Source organism: Homo sapiens, chromosome 5 (assembly GCF_000001405.40).
Source record: "Homo sapiens chromosome 5, GRCh38.p14 Primary Assembly".
NCBI classification, from domain to species: Eukaryota; Metazoa; Chordata; class Mammalia; order Primates; family Hominidae; genus Homo; species Homo sapiens.
The window spans coordinates 79,348,733-79,365,100 of NC_000005.10; the positions used below are offsets into that span (position 1 = coordinate 79,348,733).

Consider the following 16,368-nt stretch of genomic DNA (forward strand, 5'->3'; position numbering starts at 1 on the left):
TCCATTATGTTTGAAGCAGGCATTGTAGGAATCAGGTATTCGACGGGAGGTGTGAGCGCTTCATGGACTCTTAGCTCTCTTTTATCAACCCAAAACTTATAGCACAGTCTTGGGATCAAATAACAAACCAGGCAAAAGAGGGAAGAGAATGAATTATGGTCAGCAATTCAGAAGACACACTAGAATCTTCCAGTGACTGTCCTAAAAAGTCCAGCAACAGCCTCGTGAGCAGTCAACTCCTTTTATCTTTCTGTCTCTGTTACTCTCATCACTGAAGATGGCAAAGAAAAGTATGCTTCCTGGAGAAAAAAAGCACACCTGAGTTCAAATCGGATTCCATCCTTCCCTAGTTAGAGGGTGCTGGGTGACGACCGATTTCCTGGAGTGTCAGGGTGCTTGTATGTGAAGCAGAGCCACTGCTCACCTCCCCAGGGCTGTAGTAAGGGCCACGTGACTTTACATGCTGAGTGCGCGACACATGCTGTGTGTTCCATGAAAGTTCTTATTCTCCTTCCCTACAGCTGTTTCTCTTTCAAATAGAATGACATCTTTTCAGAAAACAAAACTAGAATTACAGGTTTGAGACATGTTGGTTTGATGAATAAATCATTAGTCAAGGGGAGAATTTGGACCTTTTCTCTTTATTGCGACTCAAGCTAATATTTGGCAGGCATTGGCTAAGGACTTAGGCCACACGATGCCCCGCGATGAAACTCAAAGCCGAGCTTCATCCAACTTTCAGTTCAGGCGGCTTCAGGCCATCTAAGTGGGAGAATTAAAGCAGATTGGTAACTGTATTCCAGCCTGCCTCATGTGGCTTATGATTAATTTAGTAGAGGATCTTTTGGTGTGTTCTTCACTCTCTGAAGGAGGCTGCATCCTGCCCAGGGAACAATCTATGACAGGGCCCTTAGGGAAAATTTGGTCTTGACAAAATATCTGTCAATAGTTTCGTCTTCATCTTGGAAGAGGCCTTGTATCCTTCCTGGCTGGTGATGACAAAAATAGATCCTGGCACCTAAAAAAAAGATGATAGACTAAGACATATGATGAATGAAAGCCCAAAGTTATGAATATAACACAGCACAGAGGAACATGTTTGATTATTTATTTTTGTTGAGTTTGTCACTCTAAAGAACAGAGGGAGGCTCTCAAAAAGAAAAAACATATATTTATTTGGGAATAGGGCAGTGCAATGGGAATATGCATGCCACAGTAAACTGTGTGTGTGTACCCAGGGAGGCAAAAATGAAGACAAAAGGTTTTAAAGGAGAGATGAGGAGGATTACATAACGATTTTGAAATTATTATCCTTGGCTACAAAGATCAATAACAAGGGTGAGGCCAATAACAAGGGTGAGGTTGGACAGGCAGTTGCTGGGTGGATGTCTGCACAGAACATTTAGCGTGTAAGGCTTAAATGGCCTTTGTGCAAGGCTGTGTTTTTTGTAGTCTTTTGTGACAGCTTTTGTTATCAGACATATAAGTGAGAACCCTCTCTTCACAGCCTACCCTCACTCTATTTTTAGGCTTTATTTTTTTCCTTTTTAACACAAGTGACTCCATTTTGATTCTGCTTTCACATTCCCTCTTTTGTTTTTTTCCTTTTTTGTATCTTTATTATACTTTATTGTTAGTTCCCACAAGCAAAACATTCCCCTTTTGATCAAGATATTTCTCCAAAAGTATCACTAGTCAATCACCCTGTAGTTGGGTTTTGGTGTCCCTTGGTGCTGGGATAGACTTGTCCCAGGTTGCTGGTCTCATCCCACGATGGAGAAAATGAATGGCAAGTAGGAGTCATTGTCAAAACTCTTTTAAACACCTTTGCACAAAAGGGAGGTTGGAAGGGACTGGCTCTCAGGCTAAGTCTGCCTGGACTCCATTATGGAGTTCAATTTTGTCTGTTGTGTAGTTTTTTGCTGTCATCTCAAAGTGTTGGGTCAGTGTTATTCTGAGTTTCTACGTCCACAAAAATTTAACAAGTAACAAAGTTGTTGTTGTTTTTTCTGAGATGGAGTCTTGTTCTGTTGCCCAGACTGGAGTGCAGGGGCATGATCTCGGCTCAGCGCAACCTCTGCCTCCCAGGTTCAAACAATTCTCCTGCCTCAGTCTCCTGAGTAGCTGAGATTACAGGTGCACACGACCATTTAGCAGGGGAATATATGGCTCTTAGAAAAAGTAAAAGCATGTGAAATTTCCTGGTTATATGAAACAATTCAGACACATGAAGAAAAGCTGGTTGGGTGCAATGGCTCATGCCTGTAACCCCAGTACTTTGGGAGGCCAAGGTGGGAGGATCATTTGAGGCCAGGATTTTGAGACTAGTCTGGGCAACATAGAGATATCCCATCTCTACAAAAAATAAAAAAGTAAGCTGGGCATGTGGCATTGCCTGTAGTCCCAGCTACTTGGGAGGCTGAGGTTGGAGGATCATTTGAGCCTGAGAGATTGAGGCTTTGGTGAACTGCGATTGTGCCACTGCACTCCAACTTGGGCAACAGAGCAAGACCCTGTCTCAAAGAAAAAAAAAGAAAAGAAAAGCTAAGAGTACAACATCAAGTTATACTAGAGGAAAACATTGCTTTTCTAGGTCTTAAAGAGAGTCATTTCAGCAGCAGGCAGTAACAGCAGAGTTAGAACTGGAAAAAAAGTCACAAGAGCTTACTAAAAACCTGAAAAAGTTAATATCCTAGCTGAGCCAAAAGATATGCCTTTTCAAGAGGGGAAAGGAGAGTTGAAGACAATTATACATGCCCTGCAAATTGTGTGCAGTGAGACACAGCCAAAGTTGAACTTCTGAGATATGAATCTGAGAAACTTCTAGAGGAAAACTCTACCTCAAGAAATGAAATTACCACTCTGAATAAAAAAGACAGCATTTCTAACCTAAAACTATGGAAATTAAATGAATCTCAGGACAAAATATGGCAGTAATATAAACTGCAATTTAGAAGATGGCGGTTACAAAGGAGATTTCAGATTTAAAAATCAAAACCTCTTGCAATTTTACTAAGAGCAAATCAATATATCAAGAAAATCGACTAGCCTGGACAACATGGTGAGACCCCATCACTATAAAAAATTTAACAATTATCTCAGTGTGGTGGTGCATGCCTATGTTTCCAGCTACTAGGGAGGCTGAGGTGGGAGGATCACTTGAGCCTGGGAGGCTGAGGCTGCAGTAAGCTGTGATCAGGCCACTGAACTCCAGCCTGGATGACTGAGTGAGAACCTTTCTAGAAAAATAAAACATTAAAAAAGAAAACCTTGTTGTGGCCGGGCACGGTGGCTCATGCCTGTAATCCCAGCACTTTGGGAGGCCAAGATGGGTGGATCACGAGGTCAGAAGATCGAGACCATCCTGACTAACACAGTGAAACCCTGTCTCTACGAAAAATACAAAAAAATTAGCTGGGCATAGTGGTGGGCGCCTGTAGTCCCAGCTACTCAGGAGGCTGAGGCAGGAGAATGGCGTGAACCTGGGAGGCGGAGCTTGCAGTGAGCCGAGATCATGCCACTGCACTCCAGCCTGGGCGACTGAGTGAGACTCCATCTCAAAAAAAAAAAAAAGAAAACTTTGTTGTTCTAGCATAAGAAACCACACTTTAATTTTGCATTTATTTATTTATTTTATTTTTTTTTGAGATGGAGTCTCACTCTGTCACCAGGCTGGAGTGCAGTGGCACGATCTCAGCTCACTACAACCTCCACCTCCCGGGTTCAAGCAATTCTCCTGCCTCAGCCTCCTGAGTAGCTGGGACTACAGGCACACGCCACCATGCCCAGCTAATTTTTGTATTTTTTGTAGAGATGGGGTTTCACCATGTTGGCCAGGATGGTCTTGATCTTTTGTCCTCTTGATCTGCCCTCCTCAGCCTCCCAAAATGCAGGGATTACAGGCATGAGCCACTGCGCCCAGCCGCATTAGTGTATTTTTAATATCAAAGATCACTTATAACATAGAAACACTTTAGAAACACTTACAAATAATTCCCCTCTAATTATAGCCAACTGAATCACACACACAACTCCTTTCATAAAGTTCTCCACAAACCTTTTTCATGACTTACTCATACCATTGACAACATGCTCGGACTTTCTGCTTTGTCCTATACTTCCTCTTAAACAACTAGTGGGGCAAAAATTTACCACATAAAGGCCAGGCACGGTGGGTCACCCCTGTAATCCTAACACTTTGGGAGGCCCAGGTTGGTGGACTGCTTGAGGCCAGGAGTGCAAGATCAACATGGCAAGACCCTGCCTTTCAAATAAATAAATAAATAAATAAATAAAAATAAATAAGTAATTTACCACATAAGATTCTTTCTCATACAAATTTATTCTCTTTTGTTTTTAACCTTACCAAAAATACACCTTACTTTCTTTTTCTTCTGTTGTTTTCTTTTTTTGAGATGGGGTCTTGCTCTGTCTCCCAGGCTGGAATACAGTGGCACAATCTCTGCTCATTGCAACCTCCACCTCCTGGGCTCAAGCGATTCTCCTGCCTCAGCCTCCTGAGTAGCTGGGATTATAGGCACCCACCACCAAGCCTGGCTAAATTTTTGTATTTTTAGTAGAGACTGGGTTTCACCATGTTGGCCGGGCTTGTTTCAAACTCCTGACCTCAAATGATCCACCTGCCTCAGCCTCCCAAAGTGCTGGGATTACAGGCATGAGCCACTGTGCCCAGCCATCTTTCTTGAGACAGGGTTTTGCTCTGCTGCCTAGGCTGGAGTGCAGTGGCACATTCATAGCTCACTGCAGCCTAAAACTCCTAGGCTCACATGATCTTCCCACCTCAGCCTCCAGAGTAGCTGGGACTACAGATACACGCCACCATACCCAGCTAAATTTTTTTAGTTTTTTGTGGAGACGAGGTCTTGCTATATGGCACAGGCTGGTCTCAAACTCCTGGCCTCAAGTGATCCTCCTACCTCAGCCTCCCAAAGTGCTGGGATTACAAGTGTAAGTCACTGCATGTGGCACATAACTTACTTTCTCTCTTTCCTACTTACTGGTTCCTTTCTGTCTTGCTTCTATTTCCTTCCTAAAGTTATATTTTGAAATAATTTTAAAATAACCTCTACATTAGACAAATGTATTCTTATTCAATAAAGAACAGATTTTTATGTCTTTCTTATAATTTTTTTTACAAAAAACACACACTTTGTGTGTATTAATAGACCCAAGTATATTTAGTCTTTGTATAAAATTTAAGAAACAACAAATAAACTTATATTCAGCAATTTGTTTCAGGTTTTTTTTTTTTTTTTTTTTTTTTTTTGAGACAGAGTCTCACTCTGTTGCCCAGGCTGGAGTGCAGTGGCGTGATCTTGGCTCACTGCAACCTCCACCTCCTGGGTTCAAGTGATTCTCCTGCCTCAGCCTCCCAACTAGCTGGGATTACAGGCGCCTGTCACTGCACCGGGCTACTTTTTTGTATTTTTACTAGAGATGGGGTTTCGCCATCTTGGCCAGGCTGGTCTTGAACTCCTGACCTTGTGATCCACCTGCCTCAGCCTCCCAAAGTGCTGGGATTACAGGCGTTAGCCACCGCGCCTGGCCTGTTTCAGTTTTTAAAAAATCTTATTTGGAAATGACCCAGACATTTAATGAGTATCTATTACTTAATTTAACATAATTTTAAGATTTCAAATTAAAAGTTTCTTTATAAATATTTACACCATTTACATTTATGCAATTTAATAATTTATCTGGATTACTTATAAAAACTGACATATTAGACAAAGCCTAGAACCCTTTCAAATTATTTTGCTATTAACCATTTTTATAGCCTGTGAATATCAGGTTTTCACCTAAGTCAGAACTTTAAAGATAAACATGTAGGTATTTTGTCCATGACTCATAAATCTGTTTTCATTATGAGCAATATTAAATTAGTTTTACATATCAAAGAGTTACACAAAGATCATTCTGGTTTATGCTGGGTTTATAGTTATATAACCTTTGTGTCAAACCCAGACATCTTAAAACATCTAGTAGAGACAAATATAGAACTGTCTGACAAGTAAACTCTGGGAAAAATGTATGTGGACACTTCTAAAGATATCTGTATTTTTATTTTACCAATAGTTTTAAAACCATCTTATTAACAATTTACTTAAGTCATGTGAACTAAAAGGCACTTGAATTACCACATTTTATATGAGCACTCAGTTATATAAGCCAATCTGAAAATAATTTCTTTTTTTCTTTTTTTTTTGAGATGGAGTCTCACTCTTTTGCCCAGGCTAGAGTACAGTGGCGTGATTTTGGCTAACTGCAACCTCCACCTCCCGGGTTCAAGCGATTCTCCCACCTCAGCCTCTCGAGTTAGCTGGGATTATAGGCATGTGCCACCATGCCCAGCTAATTTTTTTATTTTTAGTAGAGACGGGGTTTCGCCATGTTGGCTAGGCTGGTCTTGAACTCCTGAACTCAGGTGATCCGCCCGCCTCAGCCTCCCAAAGTGCTGGGACTACAGGCATGAGCCACTGCATCTGGCCCAACCAGAAGAGAATTTCTTAATGATTTCTGGCCAACCACGGCAGATTTGATCATGCAGACACAACATAATACATGTACATATGCACAAACATACCTAAACACACACACACGAAGATGTTACAGCTTTCATTTTACAATTTTATTCATGATATAGTAATACAAACTCACCAGTTTATAAAACATACTTGGATTGCCGGGCACGGTGGCTCACGCCTGTAATACCAGCACTTTGGGAGGCCGAGGTGGATCACCTGAAGTTGAGAGTTCAAGACCAGGCTGATCAACATGGAGAAACCCTGTCTCTACTAAAAATACAAAAGTAGCCGGCTGTGGTGGCGCATGCCTGTAATCCCAGCTACTCAGGAGGCTGAGGCAGGAGAATCGCTTGAACCCAGGAGGCAGAGGTTGCAGTGAGCTAAGATCGTGCCACTGCACTCCAGCCTGGGCAACAGGAGCGAAACTCTGTCTCAAAAAAAAAAACAAACAAAAAAAACTTGTATTCAAGTTATGACAAAATTTCAGACAAAACTGGGACCTATTTATACAACTAAACTGCATTTTCCCCAAAAAGGTAATCTAATGAAGGCTGTGGACCAAAATGTTGCGTAAAGCAGTTTCCATAGCAGTTTGATTTTTAAAAAACTCCTTCACCTTTTTTTTCTTTTTCTTAGTTTCATGTAAGTTTAGTTTTAAATTTTCAATGTTTATATTTTAGATAGGACTGGCCAAATTGTATAAGAAAAACAAAATCTCTAAGTAGCTCTGTATTATTTTTTTTGGAGACAGAATCTTGCTTGGTTGCCCAGGCTGGAGTGCAGTGGTGTGATCTCAGTTCACTGCAGCCTCTGCTTCCTGGGTTCAAGCAACTCTCATGCCTCAGCCTCCCAAGTAGCTGGGATTACAGGCATGCACCACCACACCCAGCTAATTTTTTTTTTTTTTTGTACTTTTAGTAGAGATAGGGTTTCACCATATTGGCCAGGCTGGTCTTGAACTCCTGACCTCAAGTGATCTGCCTGCCTCAACCTTCCAAAATTCTGGGATTATAGGCGTGAGCCACCACGCCTGGCCGGCCTTGTATTTTTAGTAATAATCTATCTTTTGCCAGTCTGGTGTGTTTGACTAGTCAATGTGGACGGGGAAACATGTTAGAAGGCTTTGCTTTGCTTTTGTTTTGACTTTCTCCTTTTGGCCCCTGCATGGCAGACAAAGCAAATTTTTTATGCTGGACAAAGATATCATATGATTGCTCTGAGATCAAGATTTTGATCTATTTGATCTGAGTGTGTAACTTTATAAACATTTATCTGGTTTTTGGTTTTTTGTTTTTTTTTTTTTGAGATGGAGTCTCACTCTGTCACCCAGGCTGGAGTGCAGTGGCATGATCTCTGCTCACTGCAACCTCCACCTCCCGATTTCAAGCGATTCTCCAGCCTCAGTCTCCTGAGTAGCTGGGATTACAGGCATGCGCCACCACACCGGGCTAATTTTTGTATTTTTAGTAAAGACAGGGTTTCACCATGTTGGTCAGGCTGGTCTCAAGCTCCTGACCTCATAATTTGCCCACCTCAGCCTCCCAAAGTGCTGGGATTACAGGTGTGAGCCACCACACCTGGTCTTATCTGGTTCTTTTTCTTTTATATTGTCAATCCTTCAATTATCCATTTCATCACAATATGCAATTATTAGTCAGGCAAACCTAAATTTACATTCCCAAAGATTTCTAGATTGTTACTTGCCATGGAGCTATTGTAATGTGTAAAGCCAATAATTTGAAAGAGCTTTAAAATCTTTTTTTTTTTTTTTTTTTTTTTGAGACAGGGTCTCAGTCTGTCATCCAGGCACATCAGGAGTACAGTGGCACAATCATAGCTCATTGGAACTTCAAACTCCTGGGCTCAAGTGATCCTCCTGCTTCAGCCTCTCAAATAGGTAGGACTACAGGCATGCACCACCATGCCCAGCTAGTGTAAAAAAAATTTTTTTTTGGTAGAAATGAGGTCTTGCTGTTTTGCCCAGGCTGGTCTTGAACTCCTGGCTTCAAGCCATTCTCTTGTCTTGGCCTTCCAAAGCACTAGGATTACGGGCATGGGCCACCATGCCCAGTCCAAGACCTTTTCTGGAATGCCATAACACCGACAGAAAAATCAGCAGATTTAAAGTAGGCAGAAGGAAAAAAAAAACAGAGGCAGACAAAGAACTCAGAAGGCTCTATATGCTAACTCTATAGTTGCAAGGTTTTTAAAGAGAGTTTAAAATAATGACCATTTTGGCTCTGAATTTTCCATTATGTACTTTGCCTATCTGTTTAAAAATATGCACAAGAACTGATCATAATATGTAGCTGGCTTCAGTCCCAGAAAACGTGGCATGCCTTAATGTTTGAGAATCTCATTCTGTTCTTATTAATATATTGAGAGCAAAGAAGATCCTATAAATCCTATCAGAGAGTGTCAGGACTTTGGACCAATGTTTAGATGGTGGTGGCTGCCCTAGTGGCTTTTAATCAGCCATTCTGTATGAATTAAATGTTTATTTTTGCTCTCAGAACATTTTCAGAAACAAGCAAGGGAAAAGAGTTACAGATGCCTGTAACCAAATGAAACCAGGGTAAGAGTGTTCACAAAAATTTTAAGCCAGGTTTGCAGATCAAACAAAATATTAAATTAAGAAGTAAGTTCACCAGAAAAAACATGCCTCAAAGACAGAGTGTAAATTCCGTAGAATTCAGAGTGCTCAACCCAGAAAGACACTTGTCTTTATACCAAAAAGAACTTGCCAGAAAAAACAAGAAGTATTTTATCATCCCAGGGGGATCTGAGGTCCTTTTTTTTTTTTTCTGAGATGGAGTCTCACTCTATTACCCAGGCTGGAGTACAGTGGCAGTGATCTCAGCTCACTGCAACCTCCACCTCCCAGGTTCCAGTGATTCTCCTGCCTCAGTGTTCTGAGTAGCAGGAATTACAGGCACCCACCACCATGCCCAGCTAATTTTTGTATTTTTAGTAGAGACAGTGTTTCACCATGTTGACCACGCTGGTCTGGAACTCCTCACCTTAGGTGATCCGCCTGACTCGGCCTCCCAAAGTGTTGGGATTATAGGCGTGAGCCACTGCGCTTGGCCAGGTCCTTTAATTTTTTTTTTTTTTTTTTTTTGACAGGTTCTCACTCTGTCACTCAGGTTGTAGTGCCGTGGCGCCATCTTGGCTCACTGCAACCTCTACCTCCCAGGCTCAAGCAATCCTCCCACCTCAGCCTCCCAAGAAGCTGGGATTACAGGCACGTGCCACCATGCCCAGCTGATTTTTGTCTTTTTTGTAGAGATGGGATTTTGCTATGTTGCTCAGGATGGTTTCAAACTCCTGAGCTCAAGGACCCACCTGCCTCCCAAAGTGCTGGGAATACAGGCATAAGCCACCATGCCCAGCCTATAAGGTCTTTTATTAAGGCAGGCTTACAACCAAAGTGATCCTAAAAAAATTTTTAAAGCCTCTACCAAAAAGAGGGAGGCTCAGCCTGAGAGAAGACTCACCAGGGCAGAAGAGGCGAGCCGTGAAAGTGGAGAGCTCAAAGGGCTCCTGTAAGTGCTGCATACTGGTACCAAGAATTGCCAGCTCTGTCCAAAACTGATCCTACTTCAGGTCCTGCTTCCAGACGCTATTTATGTCACCCTAAATAACAGAGAGGCTCTCTCTAAAAAAAAAAAAAAAAAAATTTATATATATATATATATATATATTCAGGAATAGGGCATTGCAGTGGGAATATGAGTGTCATAGCAAACTATGTGTGTATTCAGGGAGGCAAAAGAAGACAAAAGATTTTAAAGGAAAAATGAGGAGGATTACATAATTGTTTTGAAATGATTATTCTAAACTACAAGATCAACAATAGCAGTGATTGAGGTTGGACAGGTAGTTGCTGAGCAGATGCCCTCATAGAAATATTTTTTTGTGTAAGGTTGTGATGGCCTTGGGGCAAGGCTGTGGGTTTTGCAGCCTTTTGTGATAGCTTTTGTTATCAGGCATGGAAGTGAGAACCCTCTCTTCATAGCCCTCCCTGGATCTATTTGTTAGGGTTTTATTTTCCTCTTTTTATTTTTTATTTTTTTTTTGAGATGGAGTCTCACTCTGTCACCCAGGCTGGAGTGCAGTGGTGCAATCTTGGCTCACTGCAACCTCCGCCTCCCGGGTTCAAGTGATTCCCCTGCCTCAGCCTCCTGAGTAGCTGGGATTACAGGCACCCACCACCACGCCTGGCTAATTTTGTATTTTTAGTAGTAGCAGGGTTTCACCATGTTGGCCAGGCTGATCTTGAATGCCTAACGTTAAATGATCCACCCATCTCTGCCTCCCTAAGTGCTGGGATTACAGGCTTGAGCCACTGTGCCCAGCCAATTTTTTATTTTTTTTGAGACAGAGTCACAATTTTGCTCTATCACCTAGGCTGGAGTGCGATGGTGTGATCACAGCTGTGATCATCCTCCTGGGCTCAAGTGATTCTCCCACCTCAACCTCCCAAGTAGCTGGGACTACAGGTGTGTACTAACGCGCCTGGCTAATTTTTAAACTTTTTTGTAGATATGGGGTCTTACTATGTTGCCAAGGCTGGTCTCAAACCCTTGGCCTCAAGAAATCCTTCTACCTCAGCCTCCCAAAGTGCTGAGATTACAGGCGTAAGCCACTGTGCCCTGCCCTTTTTCCAATTTTTAACACAACTGACTCCATTTTGATTCTGATAACCTTCAAAAGTGCTTGCTCATGACCATTCAACAGTCAAAGCAAGCAGCTTGTTATGAGCTTTGACACTGGATTTGGAGAAGGAAAAATTTATACTAATGACTTAATATTAGTAGCCACACTTCTAACCAGAATGGTCATTAGAGATAAGCACAGATAATAGGCTAGAGAGGAAAGCTTCCTATCACTGGATTGGGTTACCTTTAATGCAGCCTTGCTCATCTCCATAATGTTACTGCAAGGTAGACTGTAATTCACATACACAAAGAACACTTCTGTATGTTTTGTCAAGATGCTATGAAGATTTTTTCACTGTATTACCCAATTCTCCTTTTAAGAAAAGATCCCTGTCTCAACTTATTGTGAGAGATTAGGACTAGATACATTTGTCCTTTTTGGTCTACGTTCCATCCAGGCAAAGAGAACTACATAAATCCATCATTCCCTTATCACTCTGGCTCTTTAAATGTCCTATAGCATCAAGCAATCAAATGTTACTTTTGCTATTGTTGACATATAGATGGACTATTGGGAAAAAGCTTCCCTGAATTATTCATCAGAATGAACTTTATAACTAATATATGAAGACAGCAGCTACATGGTCAACCTTAAAGATACAGTTTTTTAAAAAACTGTAAAATTATGATATTTTTCTTTTTCTGAGACAGGGTCTTGCTCTGTCGCCCAGGCTGGAGTGTAGTTGTGCATTACAGCTCACTGCAGCCTTGACCTCCCAGGTTCAAGTGATCCTCTGGCCTCGGCCACTTGAGTAGCTGGGATCACAGGTGCATGCCTGGCTAATTTTTAGGTTTCTTTTTTGTAGAAATAAGGTTTCACTATGTTGCCCAGGTTTGTCTTGAACTCCTGGCCTCAAGTGATCCTCCTGCCTTGGCCTCCCAAAATGCTGGGATTACAGGTGTGAGTCACCACAGCCAGCTGACTTAGACTTTTTTTTCAATTAGCTATTCTGTATCTTTCCAAATGCACCAAAGATTTGAAGTAACTTTTGATGAAAACACAGGTACCATCACACCAGTATAACAGGACCAAATGACTGATCAAGAAATAGGAGCAGGAACAAATAAATAAGGGCTAAGAGGAAGAAAAAACTAGAATTGTAGAAACTATCTGAGGAACATTATAGCAATTAAGCCCAAAATCTTGTCTTGAGCTTCCTAGCAGCCAGAGTGAAGAGGGAATCATGGACTTACGTAGTCCTCTTTGCCTAGAAGACACATAGGCCAAAGAGGACACACTTATCTAGTTCTAATCTCTGACAATAATTTGAGACAGAGATCTTTTCTTAAAAGGGGAATTGGGTAATACAGTGAAAAAATCCTAATAGCATGTTGACAAAGCATGCAGAAGTGTTCTCTGTGTATGTGAACTATAATTTACCTTGCAGTAACATTATGACAAGTAAGGCTGCACTGCATTAGCACAAATTAATCCCTGTAGTCAGACTCCTGGCATCCCTGGGCAATGAGAACATTCTCTTAAGTTCTAATGTGAGGCCAATAATTTCCTGATCAATTAGAAAAGCCTAAGGCCAGGCATGGTGGCTCACACCTGTAATCCCAGCACTTTGGGAGGCTGAGGCTGGCAGATCACCTGAAGTCAGGAGTTCAAGACCAGCCTGGCCAACATGGTGAAAACCTGTCTCTACTAAAAAATACAAAAATTAGCCGGGTGTGGTGGTGGGTGCCTGTAATCCCAGCTACTTGGGAGGCTGAGGCAGGGAGAATTGCTTGAATCCTAAGGCAGAGGTTGCAGTGAGGCGAGATTGTGCCACTGTACTCCAGCCTGGGAGACAGCGAGACTCTGTCTCCAAAAAAAAAAAAAAAAAAAAAAAAAAAAGAAAGAAAAGAAAAGAAAAAGAAAAAAGAGCCATGATAAAGAGCTTGTGTGCAACCCTGAACTATCCTTGGGCTGGATGCTATTGATTGTTTGATTATATGGCATCACTTACCAGTTCTTCAGGTCATCTTGGATCTTTCTTTACAGGGTCCTTTCTAAGTCCTTTTCCCTGCATACTCTTTAACTGTCAAGGTTTGCTAGGGCTCCTGTTCTCTTCATCCTCTATTTGATTTCATTTGCTCATGGCCTTACCCACTGCTAGTTTTCTGGTAACCCCCAAACTTATTTCCCCAGCTTATACTCCTCTCCCATGCTTCAGATCCATAAGACTTCTGGAGAAGCATCTCAAATTCAAAATGTCCAAAGCATCTTTCTTCAACCAAATCCAGAAACTTCAAAGTCCTCCAGAGTGGTATCACATCCTGCAATGTCTATTGATGGCGGGGACATCTTCTCAGGTCATAACTAGGGAATGCAAAGAATGTAATTTTGTTTTCTCAATTTTGTTCCAAAATTCATTTTTCTGCCTGGCGGTAGAAACATTTTTTGTCAAGTCAATATAAACTCAGCGAATTTAAGGTTTCTCCTCTGCCACCTGCTCCCTCGGGTTACATCTAAGTGATGACAGTGTTCAAGCACTTCAGGGCTGCGGTGTGGCAGGTTCTGTTTCTTTTTTTTCTTTTTGAGACAGAGTTTCACTCGTCACCCAGGCTGGAGTGCAATGGCGCCATCTCGGCTCACTGCAACCTCCCCCTCCCAGGTTCAAGCGATTCTCCTGCCTCAGCCTCCCAAGTACCTGGGACTACAGGTGCCTGCCACCATGCCCAGCTAATTTTTGTACTTTTAGTAGAGACGGGGTTTCACCATGTTGGCCAGGCTGGTCTCAAACTCCTGACCTCAGGCGATCCACCTGCCTCGGCCTCCCAAAGTGCTGGGATTACAGGCATGAGCCACCGTGCCCGGCCAGGGTTTCTGTTTCTTGATCCACCTGATTTATGCTGGCATTTGCTTAGACAGTGGGCTCCCTCTGGCCCCTTTCTCTGCCAGCATCCACTGAGATGTCCATCTTGTCTTTGGTCCCATATCCACCCAGGTGAACGTGTGTCCTCATATCTAACACAGTAGCTCTTTTGTCATACCTGCTGGAGCAGTGGGACACGGAAACATTTCAGATGCTTTCCGATGCCACACTGGGGCTCCAAGAAATGTGTTGGGCCCCTCTTAGCTTAAAAACACCATGTTGTCATTTCTACTCAGTGGCTGCTGCATCACCCTGGCCCAAGGGAACTCTTCTGTAGGTCACACCTGGAACTTGAGGCATGGGCGTCCTCTGCTCTTCAATCTCCTATCCTGTCTGAAGGTTCACTTTTTTACCCTCCCTGCTCCCATCTAAGGCTGATGTACTAGACAACCGGAGAAAGGAGGTTGTGCTCAGGGCTCTTCCATAGTGATATTTGCCACCCTCTCATTTCCTTCCACTCTCCTTCCTTGCTACGTGGGGGGTGTCATTAAAAAAAAAAAGTCTCATTTGAGGTGGGAAATTCAAAAGTAGAGAACTGACCCTTTCATTACTACAGTAATAACCCAAAACTGAGGGCCAAGTGCATAGAATACATTTGTTGAAAGGAAGAATAAATGCCAGGAAAGCAGCAGAAATCCAAATTTCAAAATATCATCCCATCACGTACCTCTTGAACATCTCTCATATTCAGTTCAGCTGTTTTTGCATCATTTACAGTTTTCTGTGTCTCTTACCTGGATTGCTACAATTAAAAAAAAAAGATCTTCCTGAATATGGTTTTCTATAAGCTTTCTTGTTTTAAGAAACTATTATTAATTTTTATAAAGATGAGGTCTCACAATGTTGCCCAGGGTGGTCTTGAACTCCTGGGTTCAAGCAATCTTCCTACCTCGGCCTCCCAAAGTGCTGGGATTATAGGCATGAGCCATTGCACCTGGCCTCCCATAAGCTTTTTTTTTTTTTTTTGGACAGAGTCTCACTCTGTCACCCAGGCTAGAGAGCAGTGGTGTGATTTCAGCTCATTGCAATCTCTGCCTCCTGGGTTAAAGTGATTCTCATGTCTCAGCCTCCCGAGTAGCTGGAATTACAGGCAAGTGCCACCATGCCTGGCAAATTTTTGTACTTTTAGTAGACAGGGTTTCATCATGTTGGCCAGGCTGGTCTCAAACTCCTGACCTCAAGTGATTCGTCCACCTCGGCCTCCCAAAGTGCCAGGATTATATGCGTGAGCCACCACGCCTGGCCCCATAAGCTTTCTTTAGGCCATTCTTGATACTGTAGCCAGAATGTTTTACTGTCTCTAAAATGTGCATCCAGTCATGCTATGTCTCCTCCTCAAAGGTTTCAGTGGCTTTCCACTGCCTTTGGGAAAAGTCAGAACTGCTGAGGACATGAAACAAAGTCCGTAGTCTGGACTCTATGACTTGCTCTGATTCCCCAAGCTCAGCCAGAGTGTATGTCAGGACTGTGAATTCAAATGTGTGGCTTGCTTTCCTCCATCACTCCAATCTTCAAAGTGAACATCTATTCGTCTTTTACACTTAGTTCCAATGTTACCTTCTCAGTGATATTGGCTAATTCTCTCCTGTGTATATACCTTTCATAACAGCATTGATGTATGATTGCTTCTTGGTTAATATGCATGCTTCCCTCATTAGATTATAAGCTTCTGGAGGATAGGGCTGTGTCTTCCCATCTTTGCATTCCAGTGCCTGGCAGAGTGCCTAGTGACATTGTAGGTATTCACAAGATGTTTGACTGAACAGCAAACTGGCAGAGGATGCTGTCAGAAGAAAAGCCACCAATCAGGAGACAAAAGGCTCTTGACATAAGAGAGAGAAATGTCTGGATATACTGGGGTTCAAACATTTCCCTATTCCTTCTTTCCTTTTTAATCCTACCTTTTTCTTTCCCACTTTGAAGGCTACAAAGCACAGCACTTTGGGTTTTAAACTTGGTGATCACCAAGCATCTCCAGATGGTGACACTGTACAATAGCTGAAAGACCAAGTCACCGAGCAAACGTTAAAATTTACATGTGGTGGCCAGGCGTGCTGGCTCACACCTATAATCCCAGCACTTTGGGAGGCCAAGGCAGGTGGATCACTTGAGGTCAGGAATTCAAGATTAGCCTGGCCAACATGGCAAAACCCCGTTTCTACTAAAAATACAAAAATAAGCTGGGTATGGCGGTGCGCACCTGTAATCCCAGCTACTCGGGAGGCTGAGGCAGGAGAATCA

General features: G+C 42.4%; 1 long non-coding RNA gene across 2 annotated transcripts; it reads right to left on the minus strand.

The window, feature by feature from the left end:
• Positions 1 to 622: 622 nt before the first annotated feature.
• On the minus strand, positions 623 to 16,368 carry LOC101929201 (uncharacterized). 2 transcript variants are annotated; one of them, XR_007058838.1, is made up of 5 exons: positions 16,328 to 16,368; positions 14,795 to 14,869; positions 13,219 to 13,571; positions 10,043 to 10,203; positions 623 to 1,018 (listed from the first exon to the last, which is right to left on the minus strand). It is a non-coding gene; the product is annotated as an uncharacterized LOC101929201 (long non-coding RNA). The 2 variants fall into 2 exon arrangements; XR_002956216.2 differs by lacking the exon at positions 16,328 to 16,368 and having other exon boundaries at positions 14,795 to 14,990.